This window comes from Homo sapiens, chromosome 2, assembly GCF_000001405.40.
Source record: "Homo sapiens chromosome 2, GRCh38.p14 Primary Assembly".
Lineage (NCBI taxonomy): Eukaryota > Metazoa > Chordata > Mammalia > Primates > Hominidae > Homo > Homo sapiens.
The window spans coordinates 24,781,270-24,798,669 of NC_000002.12; the positions used below are offsets into that span (position 1 = coordinate 24,781,270).

Below are 17,400 nucleotides of genomic sequence, written 5' to 3' on the forward strand. Positions count from 1 at the left end.
GGATCTATTTTAAAGGTAGAGACAACCATATTTGGTGACATACCAGATGTGGGGTGTGTGTGAGAAGAATCAATAATGACTCTCGGCTGGGCACGGTGGCCCACGCCTGTAATCCCAGCACTTTGGGAGGCCAAGGCGGGTGGATGGTTTGAGGTCAGGAGTTCAAGACCACCCTGGCCAACATGGTGAAACCCTGTCTCTACTAAAAATACAAAAAATTAGCTGGGTCTTGTGGCGGGCGCTGAGGCAGGAGAATCGCTTGACCCGGGAAGCAGAGGTTGCAGTGAGCAGACATCACGCCATTGCACTCCAGCCTGGGCAACAGAGCAAGGCTCCGTCTCAAAATAAGAATAATAATGACTCTTGGGTTTTTGTCCTGGGCAACTGGAAGGATGGAGTTGCCACTAACAGAGATGGGGAAGAGAAGCAGGCTTAGTTCATTTTCTGTCATGATAAGTTTAAGATTCCTATTAGACATCCAAGTGATGTAAAATCAGCAGTTGGACATATATGGGCCTGAAATGTAGGGAGCTGATTGAAGATATAAATTTTGAAGACATCAGTATATGGTTAATTTTAAGGTCATAGTTTTTGTTTTTTGTTTTGTTTTGTTTTTTGAGATGGAGTTTCGCTCTTGTTGCCCAGGCTGGAGTGCAATGGCGCAATCTTGGCTTACCTCAACCTCCGCCTCCCGGGTTCAAGCAATTCTCCTGCCTCAGCCTCCTGAGTAGCTGGGATTACAAGCATGTGCCACCACGCCCGGCTAATTTTATATTTTTAGTAGAAACGGGGTTTCTCTGTGTTGGCCAGGCTGGTCTCGAACTCCTGACCTCAGGTGATCCGCCTGCCTCAGCCTCCCAAAGTGCTGGGATTACAGGCGTGAACCACCGGGCCTGGCCAAGGTCATGGTTTTTAAAGACTAAAAGATGACTGGAAACCAAGTCTCTTAACTCTGTCTCTCACATTAAATAATCATGCCTAGCAGAGTTTATCACAGGAACAAAGATGGTTCAATATTTGAAGTCTAGGAGTACAATTCACCACAGTAACAACAGAGAATAACCACATGATGATGTCAGTAAATGCAGAAAGGGTATTTAAGACATCCATTTATTAACTGAAAAAAATTTTAGCCAACCAGTGGCAGAAGATAAACCCCTTAATCTAATAGAGCATTTGTCAAAACTCTCAACAAATAACATACCTAACAGTGAAGGTCTCAGAGCATTCTCACTAAACTCAATCGCGAGTCAGAGACACCTGCTAAACTGCTATTGTTGCACTAGAAGTCCTGGCCAGTGCAATAAGATGAGAAAAAGAAATAAGTATGAAGATGGCATTAAAAGAGACTAAATTGTGGTGATTGTTAGATAGTGCTTTTATAGGGTATGGTTTAAACTGGTCTTCACAATCCTGCTAAAACTTACTCACAGGTGAGGAAACTGAAGCTAAATTCCTTAGCCATTACATGCAGAGTTGAGTCTTAACATTAAGTCTTCTGGGATTGTCACCTGCCTTGCTCTTTCCATTTGTATCACAAAGAAGTAACAGCATATTTCCTATGGTTCAATTTCTGTTCCTGCAGCCACATCATCACAGTCTTGTGTCTTGAATATTTCAAAGAGTCTCCTGACTGATGTCCCAGCCTTCCTTCCCATTCCCAGGAAATAACATCTTGCCTCTGTTGCCAGATTAATCTTCCACTTTTATCACGAGCACTTCTTATTCCTTACGTCCAGTGTTGGGGCAGAGGTAGAATGTTTCATCGCCAACCAGTGTTTTCTTCCTTTTTAATTGACGTAATGCTCCTATTCTATTGTTCTAACTTACTCTTCCTCCTCATGGAGGTTAAAAGAATAACCTAGTTGGTGGGTGATTGCCTTTGGTCCACGTCTGTCAATTGAGTGGAACCAATCTATCAAAGTTTGATAGAATATGGGGAATTTGTTCTTATTATCCTTACTTCACATTACCAGTCGGAAGCATCAACTTTGGTGAAGTATCTACTCTGTATACTCACACTTTTCCTTAAGATAGGGAACTAGCGATCCTATTTAGGCCATCGCATAAAGCTATATCTTCTAACCAATTGATAAAAAAAGTGATATTTTGTTTATCTGCTTTTTGTCTCATTTCTCAAGAACCTAGGATCAGAACTTGGGTGCCACTTATTTGACCCTTAAAAATCCCCTCAGTTGGCCGGGTGCGGTGGCTCATGCCTGTAATCCCAGCACTTTGGGAGGCTGAGGTGGGCGGATCATGAGGTCAGGAGATCAAGACCATTCTGGCCAACATGGTGAAACCCCGTCTCTACTAAATATACAAAAATTAGCGGGGCATGGCAGTGTGTGCCTGTAGTCCCAGCTACTTGGGAGGCTGAGGCAGAATTGCTTGAACCTGGGAGGCAGAGGCTGCAGTGAGCCAGGATTGCGCCACTGCACTCCAGCCTGGGCAACAGAGGGAGACTCTGTCTCAAAAAAACAAACAAAAAATCCCTTCAGCTAAAATCCAGCCTTAGGCCAGCAGTCAAAACCCACCATATCTGGATGTTAAAGAAGGACAAAAGCTGGTGCTGTGTTAAGCTTGACCTCAGAGGACAGCTAAAACCTGTCAGGCAGTCATAGCTGAGGGCAGTGGTTCTCAACCATCTATCCACACTAACACCTTCCTGTCGGTTACGATGGCTCACTACTACCAAGATTCTCAATCAGGAAGCAAGAAGGAATTCACACCCTTAGGACAGCATCTCAGAACCTGTGGGAAAGTTCTGTGTTGATTAGACAATAAAACAGGCAATTCTTAACCTGCCCCTGGAGGGGAGCCCTCTGCGCTCTGCCAGCGCCATGAGAAGCGGTGACCTAGGCTTTGACCCTCAGCTTTATAAGTTCAGAAACTCAACTTTGTCAGCTCATCCAGTGATAATTGGGCTCTAGGGTGTTGAGTCAGAAAACTTACAGTCGCAGGAGGCTGATTTATAATCCAGAATGTCAATTAACCAATTAAAAATGGAAGATACAGCTTTTCAGCACTTGAACTACTCGTGACCCCTTTTCAAACTACCCTCCAGTATCTATATGGCTGGAAAACCAAATTGTTAACCAACTACAAGAGATTAGAAAAACTGCTGAGTGCAGTGGCTCATGCCTGTAATCCCAGCATTTTGGGAGGCCAAGGTGGGCGGATCACTTGAGGTCAGGAGTATGAGACCAGTCTGGCCAACATGGGAAAACCCCGTCTCTAGTAAAAATACAAAAATTAGCCGGGCATGATGGTGCATGCCTGTAATCCCAGCTGCTCGGGAGGCTGAGGCAGGAGAATCAATTGGACCCAAGAGGCGGAGGTTGCAGTGAGCGGAGATTGTGCCACTGCACTCCAGCCTGGGTGACAGAATAAGACTCTATCTAAAGAAAAAGAAAAAAGAAAAACTGAACTGACAAAAGACCTTTTTTTCAATCCCAGTCCTGCCATTGTCTTTGATCTTGGCAAGTCAAAGCCTTTCTGAATCTTGTAAACTCTGAGACTAGATGGCCTGCATCACAACAATTGTCAGGATTGATTCATATGGGAGCACTTTGTTAATTATACAATGTTTTTCACATATAAGAAACCTACCAGCCAGGCATGGTGGCTCATGCCTGTAGTCCCAGCACTTTGGGAGACTGAGGCGGGTGGATCACCTGAGGTCAGAAGTCCAAGACCACCTGGACAACATGATGATGTCAGGCCACTGAGCCCAAGCCTGCACGTATACCTCCAGATGGACTGAAGCAACTGAATTACCACAAAAGAAGTGAAAATAGCCAGTTCCTGCCTTAACTGATGACATTCCACCGTTGTGATTTGTTTCTGCCCCACCCTAACTGATCAGTTGACCTTGTGACATTCCTTCTCCTGGACAATGAGTCTCAGAAGCTCCTCACTGGCCACCTTGTGACCCCTGCCCGCAAGAGAAAAACCCCCTTTAACTGTAATTTGCCACTACCTACCCAATCCTATAAAACTGCCCCACCCCTATCTCCCTTTGCAGACTCCTTTTGCGGACTCCGTCTGCCTGCACCCAGGTGATTAAAAAGCTTTATTGCTCACACAAAGCCTGTTTGGTGGTCTCTTCACAGGGATGTGTGTGACAGATAAAACCCCCTCTCTACTACAAATACAAAAAATTAGCTGGGCATGGTGGCCGGCACCTGTAATCCCAGCTACTCTGGAGGCTGAGGCAGGAGAATTACTTGAACCCAGAAGGCACGGGTTGCAGTGAGCCAGGATTGCTCCACTGCATTCCAGCCTGGGCAACAAGAGCAAAACTCTTGTCTCAGAAAAAAAAAAAAAAAAAAAAAAGAAAGAAAGAAAAAAGAAATCTATGAAAGCATAGGAGATTGTTTTCAAGGATATAGCGTCTATTCTAGGGTTTGCAGCACATCTTTGCCCTGTTGGAGAAATCATAATTTTCTGTAACCTTAGTATGCATGGCCAAATACAGTGCACTTGGTGCCAGATTTCTGCTATTTGACTCCTTCCTGTGAGCACTTAATACCCTCTCATAATGTGTTGATTCTAAACCACACACATTTATTGTTCCTCTTTTAGGTTGGCTGTCTCCAGGGCCCAGGCTGTTTCTAGGTAGCACTAGAGCCTCCACTTCAGTGGGTCTGGGGTGGGGCCTGATAATTTGCATTTCTAACAAGTACCCAAGTGGTACTGATCTAGGGACCAGACCACCGCTTTGAGAGCCACTGATCTAGTTCAAATGATCATGGTCTTAAGCTGATACCAATAAGAAAATCTATTGCTTTCCTGCTGCTGTCTTGCTCTCACTCAGCGTCAGCGCATGAGTTCCTGTTCTTCCCCACCCTTGGGCAGACATTTATGCTATTTGTGCTCAGATCTCTGCTTTACGGATTTGCCTAAATCTGCTAACTCCCAGCTGTGTCTCATTTCTGTCTAGCTTCTTTTACCCCCAGACAAAGTCTCACTCTGTTGCCCAAGCTGGAGTGCAGTGGTACGATCTCGACTCACTGCAACCTCCACCTCCCAGGTTCAAGAGATTCTACTGCCTCAGCCTCCCGAGCAACTGGGACTACAGGCACGTGCCACCATGCCTGGCTAACTTTTTTTTTTTTTGAGACAGAGTTTCACTCTTGTTGCCCAGGCTGGAGTGCAATGGCGCGATCTCTGGCTCACCGCAATCTCCACCTCCTGGGTTCAAGCAATTCTCCTGCCTCAGTCTCCTGAGCAGCTGGGATTACAGGCCACCACGCCCAGCTAATTTTGTATTTTTAGTAGAGACGGGGTTTCTCCATGTTGGTCAGGGTGGTCTCGAACTCCCAATCTCAGATGATCCGCCCGCCTCGGCCTCCCAAAGTGCTGGGATTACAGGTGTGAGCCACTGCGCCCGGCAATTTTTTTGTATTTTTAGTAGAGACGGGGTATCATTATGTTGGCCAGGCTGGTCTCGAACTCCTGACCTTTTGATCCGCCCATCTCGGCCTCCTGAAGTGCTGGGATTATAGGCGTGAGCCACCCACCGCACCTGGCCTGTCTAGCTTTATACTATGTCTTACTGAAGAATTCAGAACTTAATTTTTTTTAAGATGCAGTGTCATTTAGAAACATTTTCCTAATTGGCTTGAATGGAAATGGTACTTGATGATTCCTGGATGGCATCACTCCCTAACAGAAAGGGGTAGACAATGGCCTACTTGATGGAGAACTCTTGGAGGGCAGCTCTGACGGCTGTGCCATCTGCATCTTCCCAAGTTTAGGTTCTAGCACGAAGTCCCAGGCACTGCTCTAAGGGGTTTGTACATCCAAACACATTTAAATCCCCACTTTACGGATAAGGGAACTGGGTCTCAGGGAAATAGAGTCACTGCCCAAGTCCACAGAGCTTGAAAGTATGAGACCCAGATTTGGACTCAAGCAGTTTGACACCAAAGCCTAGGCTCCTACTCACTGTTATGCTAGCTAATATAGTGCTCAATAAGTTTATTCAGTGTTATGAAAGATCGTATGCCTCCTACTTTTTTAAACTTTTAAGTTCAGGGGTACCTGTGCAGGATGTGCAGGTTTGTTTTATAGGTAAACTTGCGTCATGGGGGTTTGTGGTACAGATTTGATCACTCAGGTATTAAACCTAGAACCCACTGGCTATTTTCCTGATCCACTCCCTCCTCCCACCCTCCAATCAGTCCCCGTGTGTGTTGTTCCCCTCTGTGTGTTCATGTGTTCTCATCATTTAGCTCCCACTTTCAAGTGAGAACATGTGGTATTTGGTTTTCTGTTGCTGCTTTAGTTTGCTGAGTATAGTGCATATGCCTCCTACTTAATAGAAAAAAAGTCAGCAGGTATGGTCAACTTCAACTTTCTTTCTCCTACAATCTATTAAACCTACGTACATCTATATCTTCACCATCTGCCTTTCCACCAGTCTCAGAAAAGAAGTTTCCCCTCTCTCAGTTCAAGGCCAGTTCTTCCCGTAGCCTTTGACCCCATCTCTTCCTGTTTTCTCTGGACTTCATCAGTTATTCTATTTGGGAACTTTAATCTCTTAATCTCTCCTCTCCTTACTTTCTCCTCCTCACCCATCATCCTGCTCAAGATCTAAGAAAATCCCCACTAGGGGACCCAGCATTGATCTTTCCAGCCCCTTTTCAGTCATTATCCTCTCTCTCCTCCCTTTCAAGCTTCTGGAAAGGACACTTCTCACCTCTTACCTCCCTCCCCTCCCATTCTTTTTTTTTTTTTGAGACGGAGTTTTGCTCTTGTCGCTCAGGCTGGCGTGCAGTGGCACGATCTCTACTCACTGCAATCCCTGCCTCCCGGGTTCAAGCAATTCTTCTGCCTCAGCCTCCCGAGTAGCTGGGATTACAGGCGCCTGCCACCACACCCTGCTAATTTTTGTATTTTTAGTAGAGACGGGGTTTCACCATGTTGGCCAGGATGGTCTCGAACTCCTGACCTCGTGATCGCCTGCCTTGGCCTCCCAAAGTGCTGGGATTACAGGTGTGAGCCACCACGCCTGGCCTCCCATTCTTGTCTCAACATGTTACAATCTGATTTCTACCCTCACTATGCTATTTAAACTTCACTAAGTTCACCAGTACATTCCCAATTGCTAAATGTTTCCACGTTTTATTTACTGACATTCTATGCTGCACTTGATTGTTCTCTACCCCTTCAACTCCTCATTCACTTGGCTTCCTGGGGTTGGCTCTGCCCTCAGCACTCTACCAACTCTCCCTGTGAGAGAGACCCATCCACTCTCCTTGATTCAGGTGACCACCTTTCTTAAAGGGAAATCTTTTTTTTTTTTTTTTTTTTTTTTTTTTTTGTAGAGACAGGATTTCACCATGTTGGTCATGCTGGTCTCAAACTCCTGACTTCAGGTGATCCTCCCACCTCAGCCTCCCAAAGTGCTGGGATTATAGGCATGAGCCACTGCACCGGGCCCATGAAGGGAAATCTTATCTGGGATCTTAGCAGAACATTATCTAAGGGGGACGGGTAATATCCGTATAGGTTCTTAGCTACCTGAGGGCAAAACTGTTTTATGCACAGCCTGCCACAGCAGACAAACAATAGATATCTGTTGAACAAATTACCCCTTATAAACTTTGCTTCACAGATGTCTAAGCAATTTCTGTAGATGTGTCCAAATGTTTATAGAAATATTGTAAACGTTGTACAGAGTGTTACAGATGTTCAGAGAAGGAACTATCATTTTTGGCTTGGTAAGAATTTTTGGCAGTGATAGCACTTGAGCTGGAAATAGTTTAAGTAAAGTCCAGGGGCAGGAAAGGGAGGGGAGGAGTAGTAACATTCAACTCCCATGCCAGAGACTGGAGAATAGCAACTGGAGGGACTCTGTGGAAACATCAAGTTTGAATAAGGGAATAGAAGATTCAACTAAAAAGATAAGTAGGAGGCCGGGCACGGTAGCTCACACCTGTAATCCCAGCACTTTGGGAGTCCGAGGCTGGCGGATCACCTGAGGTCAGGAATTGGAGACCAGCTTGGCCAACATGGTGAAACCCCGTCTCTACTAAAAAAACACAAAAATTAGCCAGCTATGGTGGCATGCACCTGTAATCCCAGCTACTCGGGAGGCTGAGGCAGGAGAATGGCTTGAACCCAGGAGGCGCAGGTTGCAGTGAGCAGAGATGGCGCCACTGCACTCCAGCCTGGGCAACAGAGAGAGACTCCATCTCGAAAAAACAAAAAAGATAGGTAGGAAATACACATGAGGAGGGCCTGAAGTCTAAGCTAAGGAGTGCTGGGATTACTCCATAGGCAGAGAGGAGCCTAGACTACACAGGTAGGTGTTCAGTCGTCCTATGTGGTGGCAAAGCAGCTGCTGGATTGGAGTGTCACACTGGCGGTGAACAGACCGTGGGACACGCCAGTGAGCAAAATGAGAGGCTGACACAGGGCAACGGCACTGAAATGACAAGAAAACAGCTGTAGTACTTGACAGATTTCATTGAATCTAATAAATCTGTATGTATGTACATATATATAGACACACACAAATTTTAACTTGTTATTAATCTTTATAGAGACAGTGTCTCACTCTGTTGCCCAGGCTGGAGTGCGGTGGCATGATTAGAACTGACTGTAACCTTGAACTCATGGGCTCAAGCGATCCTCCTGCCTTGGCTTCCCAAAACCCTGGAATTAACAGATGTGAGCCACCACACTGGCCAAATTTTAACATCTTTGTTATTGAAATACAAGTGTTTAATTTGCCGGCATATTTTTTAACAATACATAAAATACTACCGCATCTTAAAGTTGATGTTATCTTAGATTCAATGAAATATGATAACTGGATGTGAATAAGAAGGAATTCAAAAGCAAAGTTTCAAACCCGAGTGACTGGAAGGGAGTTTCCTTGAGCCCCACAGGAGAGTCTAACCAAATCTTCTATTTGAGCAATGATCCCCAGACAATACTGCTCTCCCACCTTCCCCACTTGAACTTATTAATAAGAGGAAGTAGTTATTAATGACAACTTTAATATGAACATGTGCTTAACCCTCAAGAAATTGTCACAACTGAAAGACGGGAGCAAGCTGACACTGCAAGGAACACATGATGCTTTGGAATGGGTGGCCTGCGTATTCAAACACATCAAAGCAGCAGTTACTTGAACAATCGGAACTTCTTCAAATACTGGCCCACTTCTTCCTTGGGGTAGGGCCGGAGAGCAATACAAGTGGCGATATTCTCTGGTTGCTCAAGCCACAGCATGTGGTCAATGTTCTTCTGTTGCAGGGTCTCGGCCAGCTCCTTTAGGGTGGTCTCATCTGGGGCCTAAAGGAGAAGAACACAGAACACAAACTGAATAGCCCACTTAGGAAGTGTCAAAAGGCCAAAAAAGGTTTCGGGAGTCCTCTTGCCTGAAAGTGGAGTAACAGCTTTACCAAGGAGGGAGCTGCAGAGCAATGATGTCATTCCGTGGTGCACTGGGGAGGGGAGAGAGGCTTCATATTCCAGTTTAGAAAATGGAGATTTGTATCTTCCCTTGTGAGATGTTGTATGCCCAACACACACATGTGTAATGTGTAATTCTGCTCTATACATTTTCCAGCTCTCCTATGGCTGGCGCCCATAATTTTAAGTGCCTCTGACTTTAAGAGCTGCCTAGTGGAAGTTTTTTTTTTTTTTTCTTTTGAGACAGAGTCTTGCTCTGTCGCCTGGGCTAGAGTGCAGTGGCACGATTATCAGCTCACTGCAGTCTCTGGCTCCCGAGTTCAAGCAATTCTCCTGCCTCAGCCTCCCGAGTAGCTGGGATTACAGGCGCACACCACTACACCTGGCTAATTTTTGTATTTTTAGTAGAGACGGGGTTTCACCATGTTGCCCAGGCTGGTCTGGAGCTCCTGACCTCAAGCAATCCACCCACCTAAGCCTCCCAAAGTGCTAGGATTACAGGAGTGAGCCACCATGCCCGGCCCCTAGTGGAAGGATTTCTAAAAGCACATCCACTTCCACTTTCCTCCACCCCTCCCACTCTACCTCACTGAAACCTAGAGGGGTTTTCCTTCTGCTGGGATGGCTCCCACTTGTTTATTAAAGGGAGAGTACAATATTCTCTAACATCCTTCTGAAATTGTTTCTGGGTCATCCTTACTGCCAATTCACCCATGCTGAATCCCATTCCAGGAAGTATTAAAACGATCACTCAGAAAATTATTATTTTTGTGTTATTTTGCATAAAGTTTATCTCTTACCTATGAAGGCAGAAGCCACTAAGCTACTCAGAGGCTTGTTTTAATAAATTAGAGAATGCCAGTATTGCGACTCTTAACCTGCTGAGTCCTTCTGGCAGAGCTCTGCTGGAGGACTCATCAGCTTCTTCAGCCTCGGGCAGCAGCAGAGCATAGTGAGATACAGTGAGGCTCTGGAATCAGACTACTGGACTCCAAACTCTTGCTGACTGTGTGATCGTGGATAAGTTAGGTGACTTCGCTGGCCTCTTCGTCCCTTTATAAAACAGGAATAATGCTTCCTAATGGGGATCAATGAAATCAGGCTTGGACCTGTGCCTGGCACACACTAAGCACTCAATAAATGTAGTTAATCCTGGTATTTTCTTATATTTTATTGGCCCTTCTGACTACAGCGGCACCTCAATGTAATCAGTAGCGACTCCTAAGTCCCTTTCTTGAGTCATGACTAACAACTAAGAATCATGAGACCCTCTTTTAAACTCAGGGGAGTCACTTAATCCCTGTAGGCTTCAGAGAGTTTCACCTGCGACAAGAGGAGTCTAACCTGATTTCTTGAGACCTCTTACTAGGAAGAAAATCTAAGTGAAAAGCCAGCAGCTTCTGTTCTGCCTACACAGATTCTCAAGGCATTTTTCCTACAGGTTACCGCTTGATGTTTCACTATCCAGCAGCAATTTTTCTCTTGAAAGATAATCTATCTTTGTCAGTTACCCATGAAGGGATTACTCCACCCCTCCACCTGAGTTCTGGCTTAAAGCCGTTTTTCCTTATTATAAAAAGCCGTTTATTATTAAAGCCGTTTTTCCTTATTATAAAATATGTGCTTAAGGTAGAAAATTTTAAAAATACAGATTAAGCATTAGGAAATAACCAAAATCTCACCATGCACTACTTAATATGTAGATGTATTTCTTTAGTTTTTCCTTTCAAAGTCTGGATCATTCTGTATATATAGTTCAGTTAGCTTCGCATCATGAGCACTCTTCCCGACCACTAAATATGCTTCAAAACCATAAGGGCTCCCATGAATATCCTTGTGCAAAGCTCTTTGGGTGCATCTGATTATTTTCTTAGGCTACATCTCTAGCAGCAGGATAGAGAGTCAAAGGGTAAGGGTGAGATTTGTTTGGTCATCTGCAAACAGAACCTGACTGCTATTTTAAAAGGTGTACCGATTTACACACCTGGTGCCTGGTCTAGCTGAAGCTAGGTTCAATTTATACTAACGTTTTTAGTATTTATTTTCAAATAATTTGGCGTCCTACCCAGGTAAATACTCAGTTTGACTTCACTTTGCACTGTCCCTTCGGGCTCGGTTTTGCAGGAGGACAGCACTTTGGGGCATGGCTTTAAAAAGTCGGCCAGTGCACAGGCGGAACAGCGGGGACACAGGAGCCACCACTTTACCGCGAGCCCAGCAGGGGGCGGAGGACTGCTGTCCACTCTTCACACAGTCAGGCCCTTCCCAAGGGCGCACCTCCAGGGAAACAGCTCCAGTCTAAATGTTAACGATCACCCCAACTCCCGCCGCACCCACTCCCCGCAGCCAGGCCTTCGGACCGAAGACCACACCCACTTCCGCCCTCGATGTCTCAGCACCTCCCCCTCCGCCCGAGTGCCTCACCTCGAGGACCACTTTGCGCATGCGCCCCAGCTCTTGGAGGTAAGCGGCTGTGTGCGGGTGGTCGCGGTGAGTGTGCAAGGCCGCGGTGGCCGCGTGACAAGCCTGCGCTACCAGTGCGCCCGCCGGCCAGGAGAACGGAGCTTGTGATAGATCCTTTCGTAACACCAAGTATTGTACCAGGACCTGCGGCTCCGCCCCAGAGGCCGCCATCTTCCTGACCACCCGAAAGGCCGGACCTACTCCCCGGTGCATCTTGGGATCAGGGCGGGGCCCTGAGCGCCGCCATGCTTTTGTACGGCAGGATCGCAAAGCACGCCGGGACCGGTTGGTTTGGTTTTGAAGACGTGGATGGCGGGAATTCTCGCTTCTGGCCTGGGTGAGCTAGAAGGGAGAAGGTAGGGGAAAGACCCATTGTCGGACCGGACCGTGGCCAGGGTGGCGGGCTGAACGGCCTTCTTAAAACTCCTTCCGTGGCCGGGAAGCCCGCTGGACCAGAGTAGCCGTGGCCTCGGGAGCGCGCCGGGGCCGCGGGATGGGCGCGGGGGTGGGCATGGACTCTGCTGGCTCGGACGATGGGAGAGGGCGGGCGGCTCAGGAAAGGGGATCCTAGCCGTGACATTTGTGTCATCCGCGGCCCAGGGGTTGTGCCTGAGTGGTGTGTGCCCTGCCGTCTGGGTTTGAATGGGACTAGATGTGATGTGACTGTTGCCATTTTTCTTTTATTAGCAAGGACATTGGAGTCCCTATCACCGGTTGCCTAGACAACTTCATGGGAAGGCCCTTGGGAATCTGAGATGGAGCAGGCGAACCCTTTACGTCCAGATGGCGAGTCCAAAGGAGGTATTCAGAGGGTCGCCGCCTCCTTCCTGCTGCTGCCCAAAGATGACCCGCAGGCTGAGAGAGCCCTTTCCTCCTGGAACTGACGTGGGACCTGGCCTGTTTGGGAGCAGAATAGTGAAAGGAACTAACATTGAAGACAAAGGGACAGGCAGCCAAGATTATTCGAGGAGGAAAAATGGCTTCGTTTCTAGGCTCCCACCCCTTTTGAAACGGATAAGTTGCATCCATCATATGCTCAGTGTTTATATTCTGAACTGCGGTTCTAGCCAGGGAGGTCCCTTTCCTCTCCCCGGATTTTTTGGGCCATGTATGCATTACTCTTGAGGGAGGGCCAGTGTAGGGCAGTGACTTTAGTGTTGGCTAGAACTGGTTTTGAGTGTTGGCTCTGCCATGATAAATATTGTGACCTTAGGCAAGTCACTTTATTCTCTGCCTCTGTTTCTTCATCTGGAAAATGGAGGTGAAAATAGCACTGTAGTTGTGGTTGTGGAAAAAGTATTTCTTTTGTGGTGGAAAAGTATTGAACTCAGACTTTTCAAGTGAAGCATTTAGCACATGTCTAATATATAGGAAATATTCAATGAAAGGCTTAATTCTTTACATACTTTGTGTCTTAAAATGTAGAAGGTGTTTAAAGAATGCTTGTTAGAGTTGCTTAGAATTACGAAACTATTACTTTTACTTAGTCCTTAGTCAATCCTTTGGAAACTGAGATTTGCGTTTGAATTTCTGTCCAGGAGTAAGTTGCTTTCTTCTTTAGTGCCTAGTAATATTTGTGGACAGTTCTGGTTTTGTGTGACTTTATGTTCTTTGCTACTAATACTTTTTAGAACTTTGAAATACTTACTCAAGCCTGATGCCTAAATCCAAAGGGTTCTACGTTAGTACTTTGGGAAAGCTTGCCATAAAACCTAACTTAAATTACAGTTTTAAAAAGAATTTCTGAGCGCGTCAGTGAATTTGGTTATCCTATTTTTCTCTGGGTCATCATTATCATTGATAACAGAGAAGTAACTATATTCAGCCTAAGATGACTTAAGCTGAGACTTTAGATAATAAAAGTATATGGGGTAAGATTTATTGTTACTTTAAGACTAAAAATAAGTTTGGTGACTTTATGTAGTGGAAACATGCTACACTCAGGAGTAACCTGTTCTCTAGTCCAGGCCTTATTTCATTTCTGTTAAAGTAAGTGATGAGGTGGAAGTTTTGGATTATCAAGAGACTTAGACCAGTCTCCTTATTCTCTACCCAAAACAATATTTAAACACTTAGCTGTTACCCATACTGGTTTTATCCCTCTGCTTGTTTGATTTCAGTTTTTTGCTTATTATTTGAATTCTCCCCACTCATTTGAGAAGGAAGGACATGGAGTTGTAGTTGCAACCAGATGATTTATTCAAATAGGCAGGGATTTTGACTTTTTTTGGGACAAAGCTGACTGGCTAGGATGAGATGCAATCATAACTTCCAAGGTAAAGCAGGCCCAGCAGATACACTCCCTCTTTTCTGTAGTAGCAACGCTAAACAACAACGCTACCCCCTTGGTGTAGAGGGAATCAGGTCGGTAAAGAAGCTGGGCAGGTTTGAGAGCCTGAGAAGAGGGCTGTGTGGAAGTGCCTAGAGAAGGAGCAGCATGATACTGTTTTGAACACCTACTTATCTCAGAAACTTTGGGAATATTGATATCTACTGTTTTAGTAATATAGAATTTCCATAAAGTAGAATTTGGTGAGGCGTCTCCTCTACCACCCTAAATTATTCTATGTGTGCGTGCTTTTCAGATCACCTCCTGGTTGGACATTAATTTTTGTAAGCTCCGTGAGGACAGGGACTTCGTTTTGCCACCACAGTATGAATAACTTCCAGCACGGTCCTTGGTCCATAGTAAATTCTCAATGCATAGTTGTTGGATAAATAGAGATTGGTGAATAAAGCAGTTAATCACGTGCTAATTATTAGGACTAATTTATTTAATTAGAATTTTGGTTTCTCACGATTATTATTGCGGTAATGTGGGTTTTTCTGTGGACATGAGCCAAGTGAATGTAATCTCCAAGAGTGTCATGCCTGGTTGTCCGTGTTTCGGTAAACATTTCCGGAGTGTTGGCCGGGCGCGGTGGCTCACACCTGTAATCCCAGCACTTTGGGAGGCCAAAGCGGGTGGATCACAAGGTCAGGAGTTCAAGACCAGTCTGGCTAACATAGTGAAACCCCATCTCTACTAAAAATACAAAAATTAGCCGGGCATCGTGGTGCATGCCTGTAGTCCCAGCTAATTGGGAGGCTGAAGCAGGAGAATTGCTTGAACCTGGGAGGTAGAGGTTGCAGTGAGCTGAGATCGCGCCACTGCACTCCAGCTTGGGCAACAGAGTGAGATTTCGTCTCAGAAAAAAATAACCATTTCCGGAGTGTTTACCATGTGTAAACACTTTGTGCTAGGGTTAAGGGATCCATGGGTGAACACAAATGCACACGGTCCCTGATTTTGGAACTTTAAGGTTCAGTGGAAAAGATAAGCAAATCAAATAATCACACTAATGAATATACAATTAAAACTATAGTGGCCGGGTGCGGTGGCTCACGCCTGTAATCCTAGCACTTTGGGAAGCCGAGGTGGGAGGATCGCTTGAGCTTAGGAGTTTGAGACCAGCCTGGGAAACATAGTGAGACCCCATCTCTTTATTTAAAAAACAAAAACAAAAAAACTATAGTATTGTCTCAGAAGGATCTTTGAGAGCTTATGAGCTGGCACCTGACCTTGTTCTGAAGGTGCTACAAAGGTTTCCCTGAGGAAATGCTGCTTGCATTGAGTGCTAACGAGCTAGAGTAGCTGCAGGTGAAGGTGGATAAGGGGCGGCTGTGGAAGAGCCTTTGGTGTGTGTGTTGGGGGTGGGGGGATCAGGTCAGTAAAGACGCTGGGCGGGTTTGAGAGCCTGAGAGGAGGCCTGTGTGGAAATGCCTAGAGAAGGAGCAGCATGATACTGATGAGGGTAAGAGAGATCCAGAGGCCAGTAGGCCTCGTAGGCAGTGTGAAGTCATCGAAAGGCTTTAGCCAGCTGGATGACACGATCCAGTTTAGATTTTGAAATATGGCTTCAGTGTATGGGCCACCTAGGAAACTTGTAATAGGCCAGAAATGGTAGTAGCTTGAACTACAATGGTGGCATTGCAGATGGGGAAAATGGAAATATTTTAGAGATACTAGGAATGTATATTCAATAGGATCTGGTAATGGATTGGGACTGGGTCAGGGAGAAGGTGTGAGGAAGAAAGTACTGGTTTACACAGCTATAGATGGATAATGGTTCCAGTCATGGAGGGGTTTAGAAGGGGAGATGATGAATTCAGTCTTGGACATGTTGATTGTCAGGTTCCTGTAAGTCTTCCAAGTAGATACACTGAGAAGGCAGGTGGATATTCTGCTTTCTCAAGAAGCAGGAGAGAGGTATAAGCTAGAGATACATATTTGTGTGGCATCGACATGTATGGCCATTAAGGCTGTGGGTACTGATGAGATTTCTTCTGGAAAGAAGAGGTCTTAGGACTGAGCTCTGGAAAATTTCAGCATTTAATGGTCAAGGAGGAGAGTAGGAGCCTTCAAAGCAGAAAGTGGGGTCAGAGAGGTAAAATGTAAGTGTCACAAAAACAGGTTGTCTGTTGTTCATCACTATGTTCCCAGTGCCTGAAATAGTACTTGGCACAAAATAGATGCTTAATAAACATCTGTTGAACAAGGCATACCAACAGGCCGCTATGCTAAGATTCAGAGGAAAAGAGGGTTTCGTGAAGGTGGTGATCAGTAGGAGCATATAGTGCTGGGAGGTGAGATAAGGGAGCTTGAAAAATGTCCTTTGGGTTCAGCAACATGGATATCACTGTTGATCTTAGAGTGGTTTTGTAAAATAATGGGAACAGAAGTGAGTTTCAAGTGGGTTGAGGTATGAGTCACAGGCAAGAAAATGGAGAAAGTGAGTACAAGTTGAGCACTGAAGATCCAAAATCTGAAATACTCCAAAATCTGAAGCTTTTTGAGCACTGACATGATGGTCAAAGGAAATGCTTATTTCCAGTTTTGGATTTTCAGATATGGGATGTTCAGCCAGTAAGTGTAATGCAAATACTCCCAATTCCGAAATCTGAAACACCTCTAGTCCCAAAACGTTCGGATACTCAACTTGCATGGACAACTCTTTTAAGTAGTTTTCCTGGAAAGGAAAGGGGAGAAAAGGGAGATAGTAGCTGAAGGGGATTTGTGGGCAAGAATAGGCCTGTGAGTGTATGAAATTGTGTGTGTGTGTATGTGTGTGTATATATATATATATATATGAGTGTGTGTTTGAAGACAGTTGAGACTTGAGCGTGTGTGGAAGGGAAATGAACACAGCAGAGAAAAGGGTAACTGATCATTTAGGGTTTCTGAGAAAGCAAGGGGATAGGCCTCAATGAGTAAAATAGGATAATTCTGCATATAGTGCGTGTCTGTTTCTATTTGATCTCACACAAATTTTTTTTTTTTGAGACGGAGTCTGTCACCTAGGCTGGAGTGCAGTGGCACGATCTTGGCTCACTGCAAGCTCCGCCTCCTGGGTTCACGCCATTCTTCTGCCTCAGCCTCCTGAGTAGCTGGGACTACAGGTGCCCGCCACCACACCCGGCTAATTTTTTGTGTTTTTGGTAGAGACGGGGTTTCACTGTGTTAGC

At 45.5% G+C, this 17,400-nt stretch overlaps 2 protein-coding genes and 1 long non-coding RNA gene across 10 annotated transcripts in view, besides 2 other annotated features; 1 reads left to right on the forward strand and 2 right to left on the reverse strand.

Annotated features, from left to right (window-relative positions):
- Positions 8,459 to 12,122, reverse strand: PTRHD1 (peptidyl-tRNA hydrolase domain containing 1). The gene is made up of 2 exons (NM_001013663.2): positions 11,857 to 12,122; positions 8,459 to 9,312 (listed from the first exon to the last, which is right to left on the reverse strand). Exons 1-2 carry the CDS (start codon positions 12,106 to 12,108, stop codon positions 9,142 to 9,144), a joined length of 423 nt encoding a protein of 140 aa, NP_001013685.1. The 5' UTR covers positions 12,109 to 12,122; the 3' UTR covers positions 8,459 to 9,141.
- LOC105369164 (uncharacterized) lies at positions 9,323 to 11,806 on the reverse strand. 3 transcript variants are annotated; one of them, XR_001739341.2, is made up of 4 exons: positions 11,498 to 11,806; positions 11,115 to 11,315; positions 10,233 to 10,510; positions 9,332 to 9,464 (listed from the first exon to the last, which is right to left on the reverse strand). It is a non-coding gene; the product is annotated as an uncharacterized LOC105369164 (long non-coding RNA). The 3 variants fall into 3 exon arrangements; XR_939843.4 differs by having other exon boundaries at positions 9,323 to 10,510; XR_007086245.1 differs by having other exon boundaries at positions 9,323 to 10,510; positions 11,417 to 11,509.
- Positions 9,942 to 10,021: a silencer, noted in NCBI's record as "silent region_11234". NCBI's record gives its function as "represses an Ori minimal core promoter by ATAC-STARR-seq in GM12878 lymphoblastoid cells {active_cell/tissue: GM12878}" and the evidence as "EXISTENCE:reporter gene assay evidence [ECO:0000049][PMID:35858748]".
- Positions 11,783 to 12,212: an enhancer, noted in NCBI's record as "active region_15435". NCBI's record gives its function as "activates an Ori minimal core promoter by ATAC-STARR-seq in GM12878 lymphoblastoid cells {active_cell/tissue: GM12878}" and the evidence as "EXISTENCE:reporter gene assay evidence [ECO:0000049][PMID:35858748]".
- Positions 12,156 to 17,400, forward strand: part of CENPO (centromere protein O) — a 28,952-nt gene continuing 23,707 nt past the window's right edge. For 2 of the 6 annotated variants that reach the window (NR_136183.2, NR_136182.2), the window contains exon 1: positions 12,156 to 12,251. Coding sequence is in view for 3 of the 6 variants with exons in the window: in NM_024322.4 (NP_077298.1) it covers positions 12,651 to 12,696 (46 nt within the window). In the remaining 3 variants the exon portion in view is untranslated. Of the gene's footprint in view, positions 12,252 to 12,582; positions 12,697 to 17,400 lie in introns of all 6 variants that reach the window. The other 4 variants (NR_136184.2, NM_001199803.3, NM_024322.4 and 1 more) reach the window with 3 other exon arrangements.

Coding starts and splice junctions, on each gene's coding strand:
- PTRHD1 (NM_001013663.2), bottom strand. CDS start 12,108: ATGCACCGGGGAGTAGGTCCGGCCTTTCGGGTGGTCAGGAAGATGGCG. Junction 9,313..11,856: donor TGCGCAAAGTGGTCCTCGAG/GTGAGGCACTCG, acceptor CTTCTCCTTTAG/GCCCCAGATGAGACCACCCT.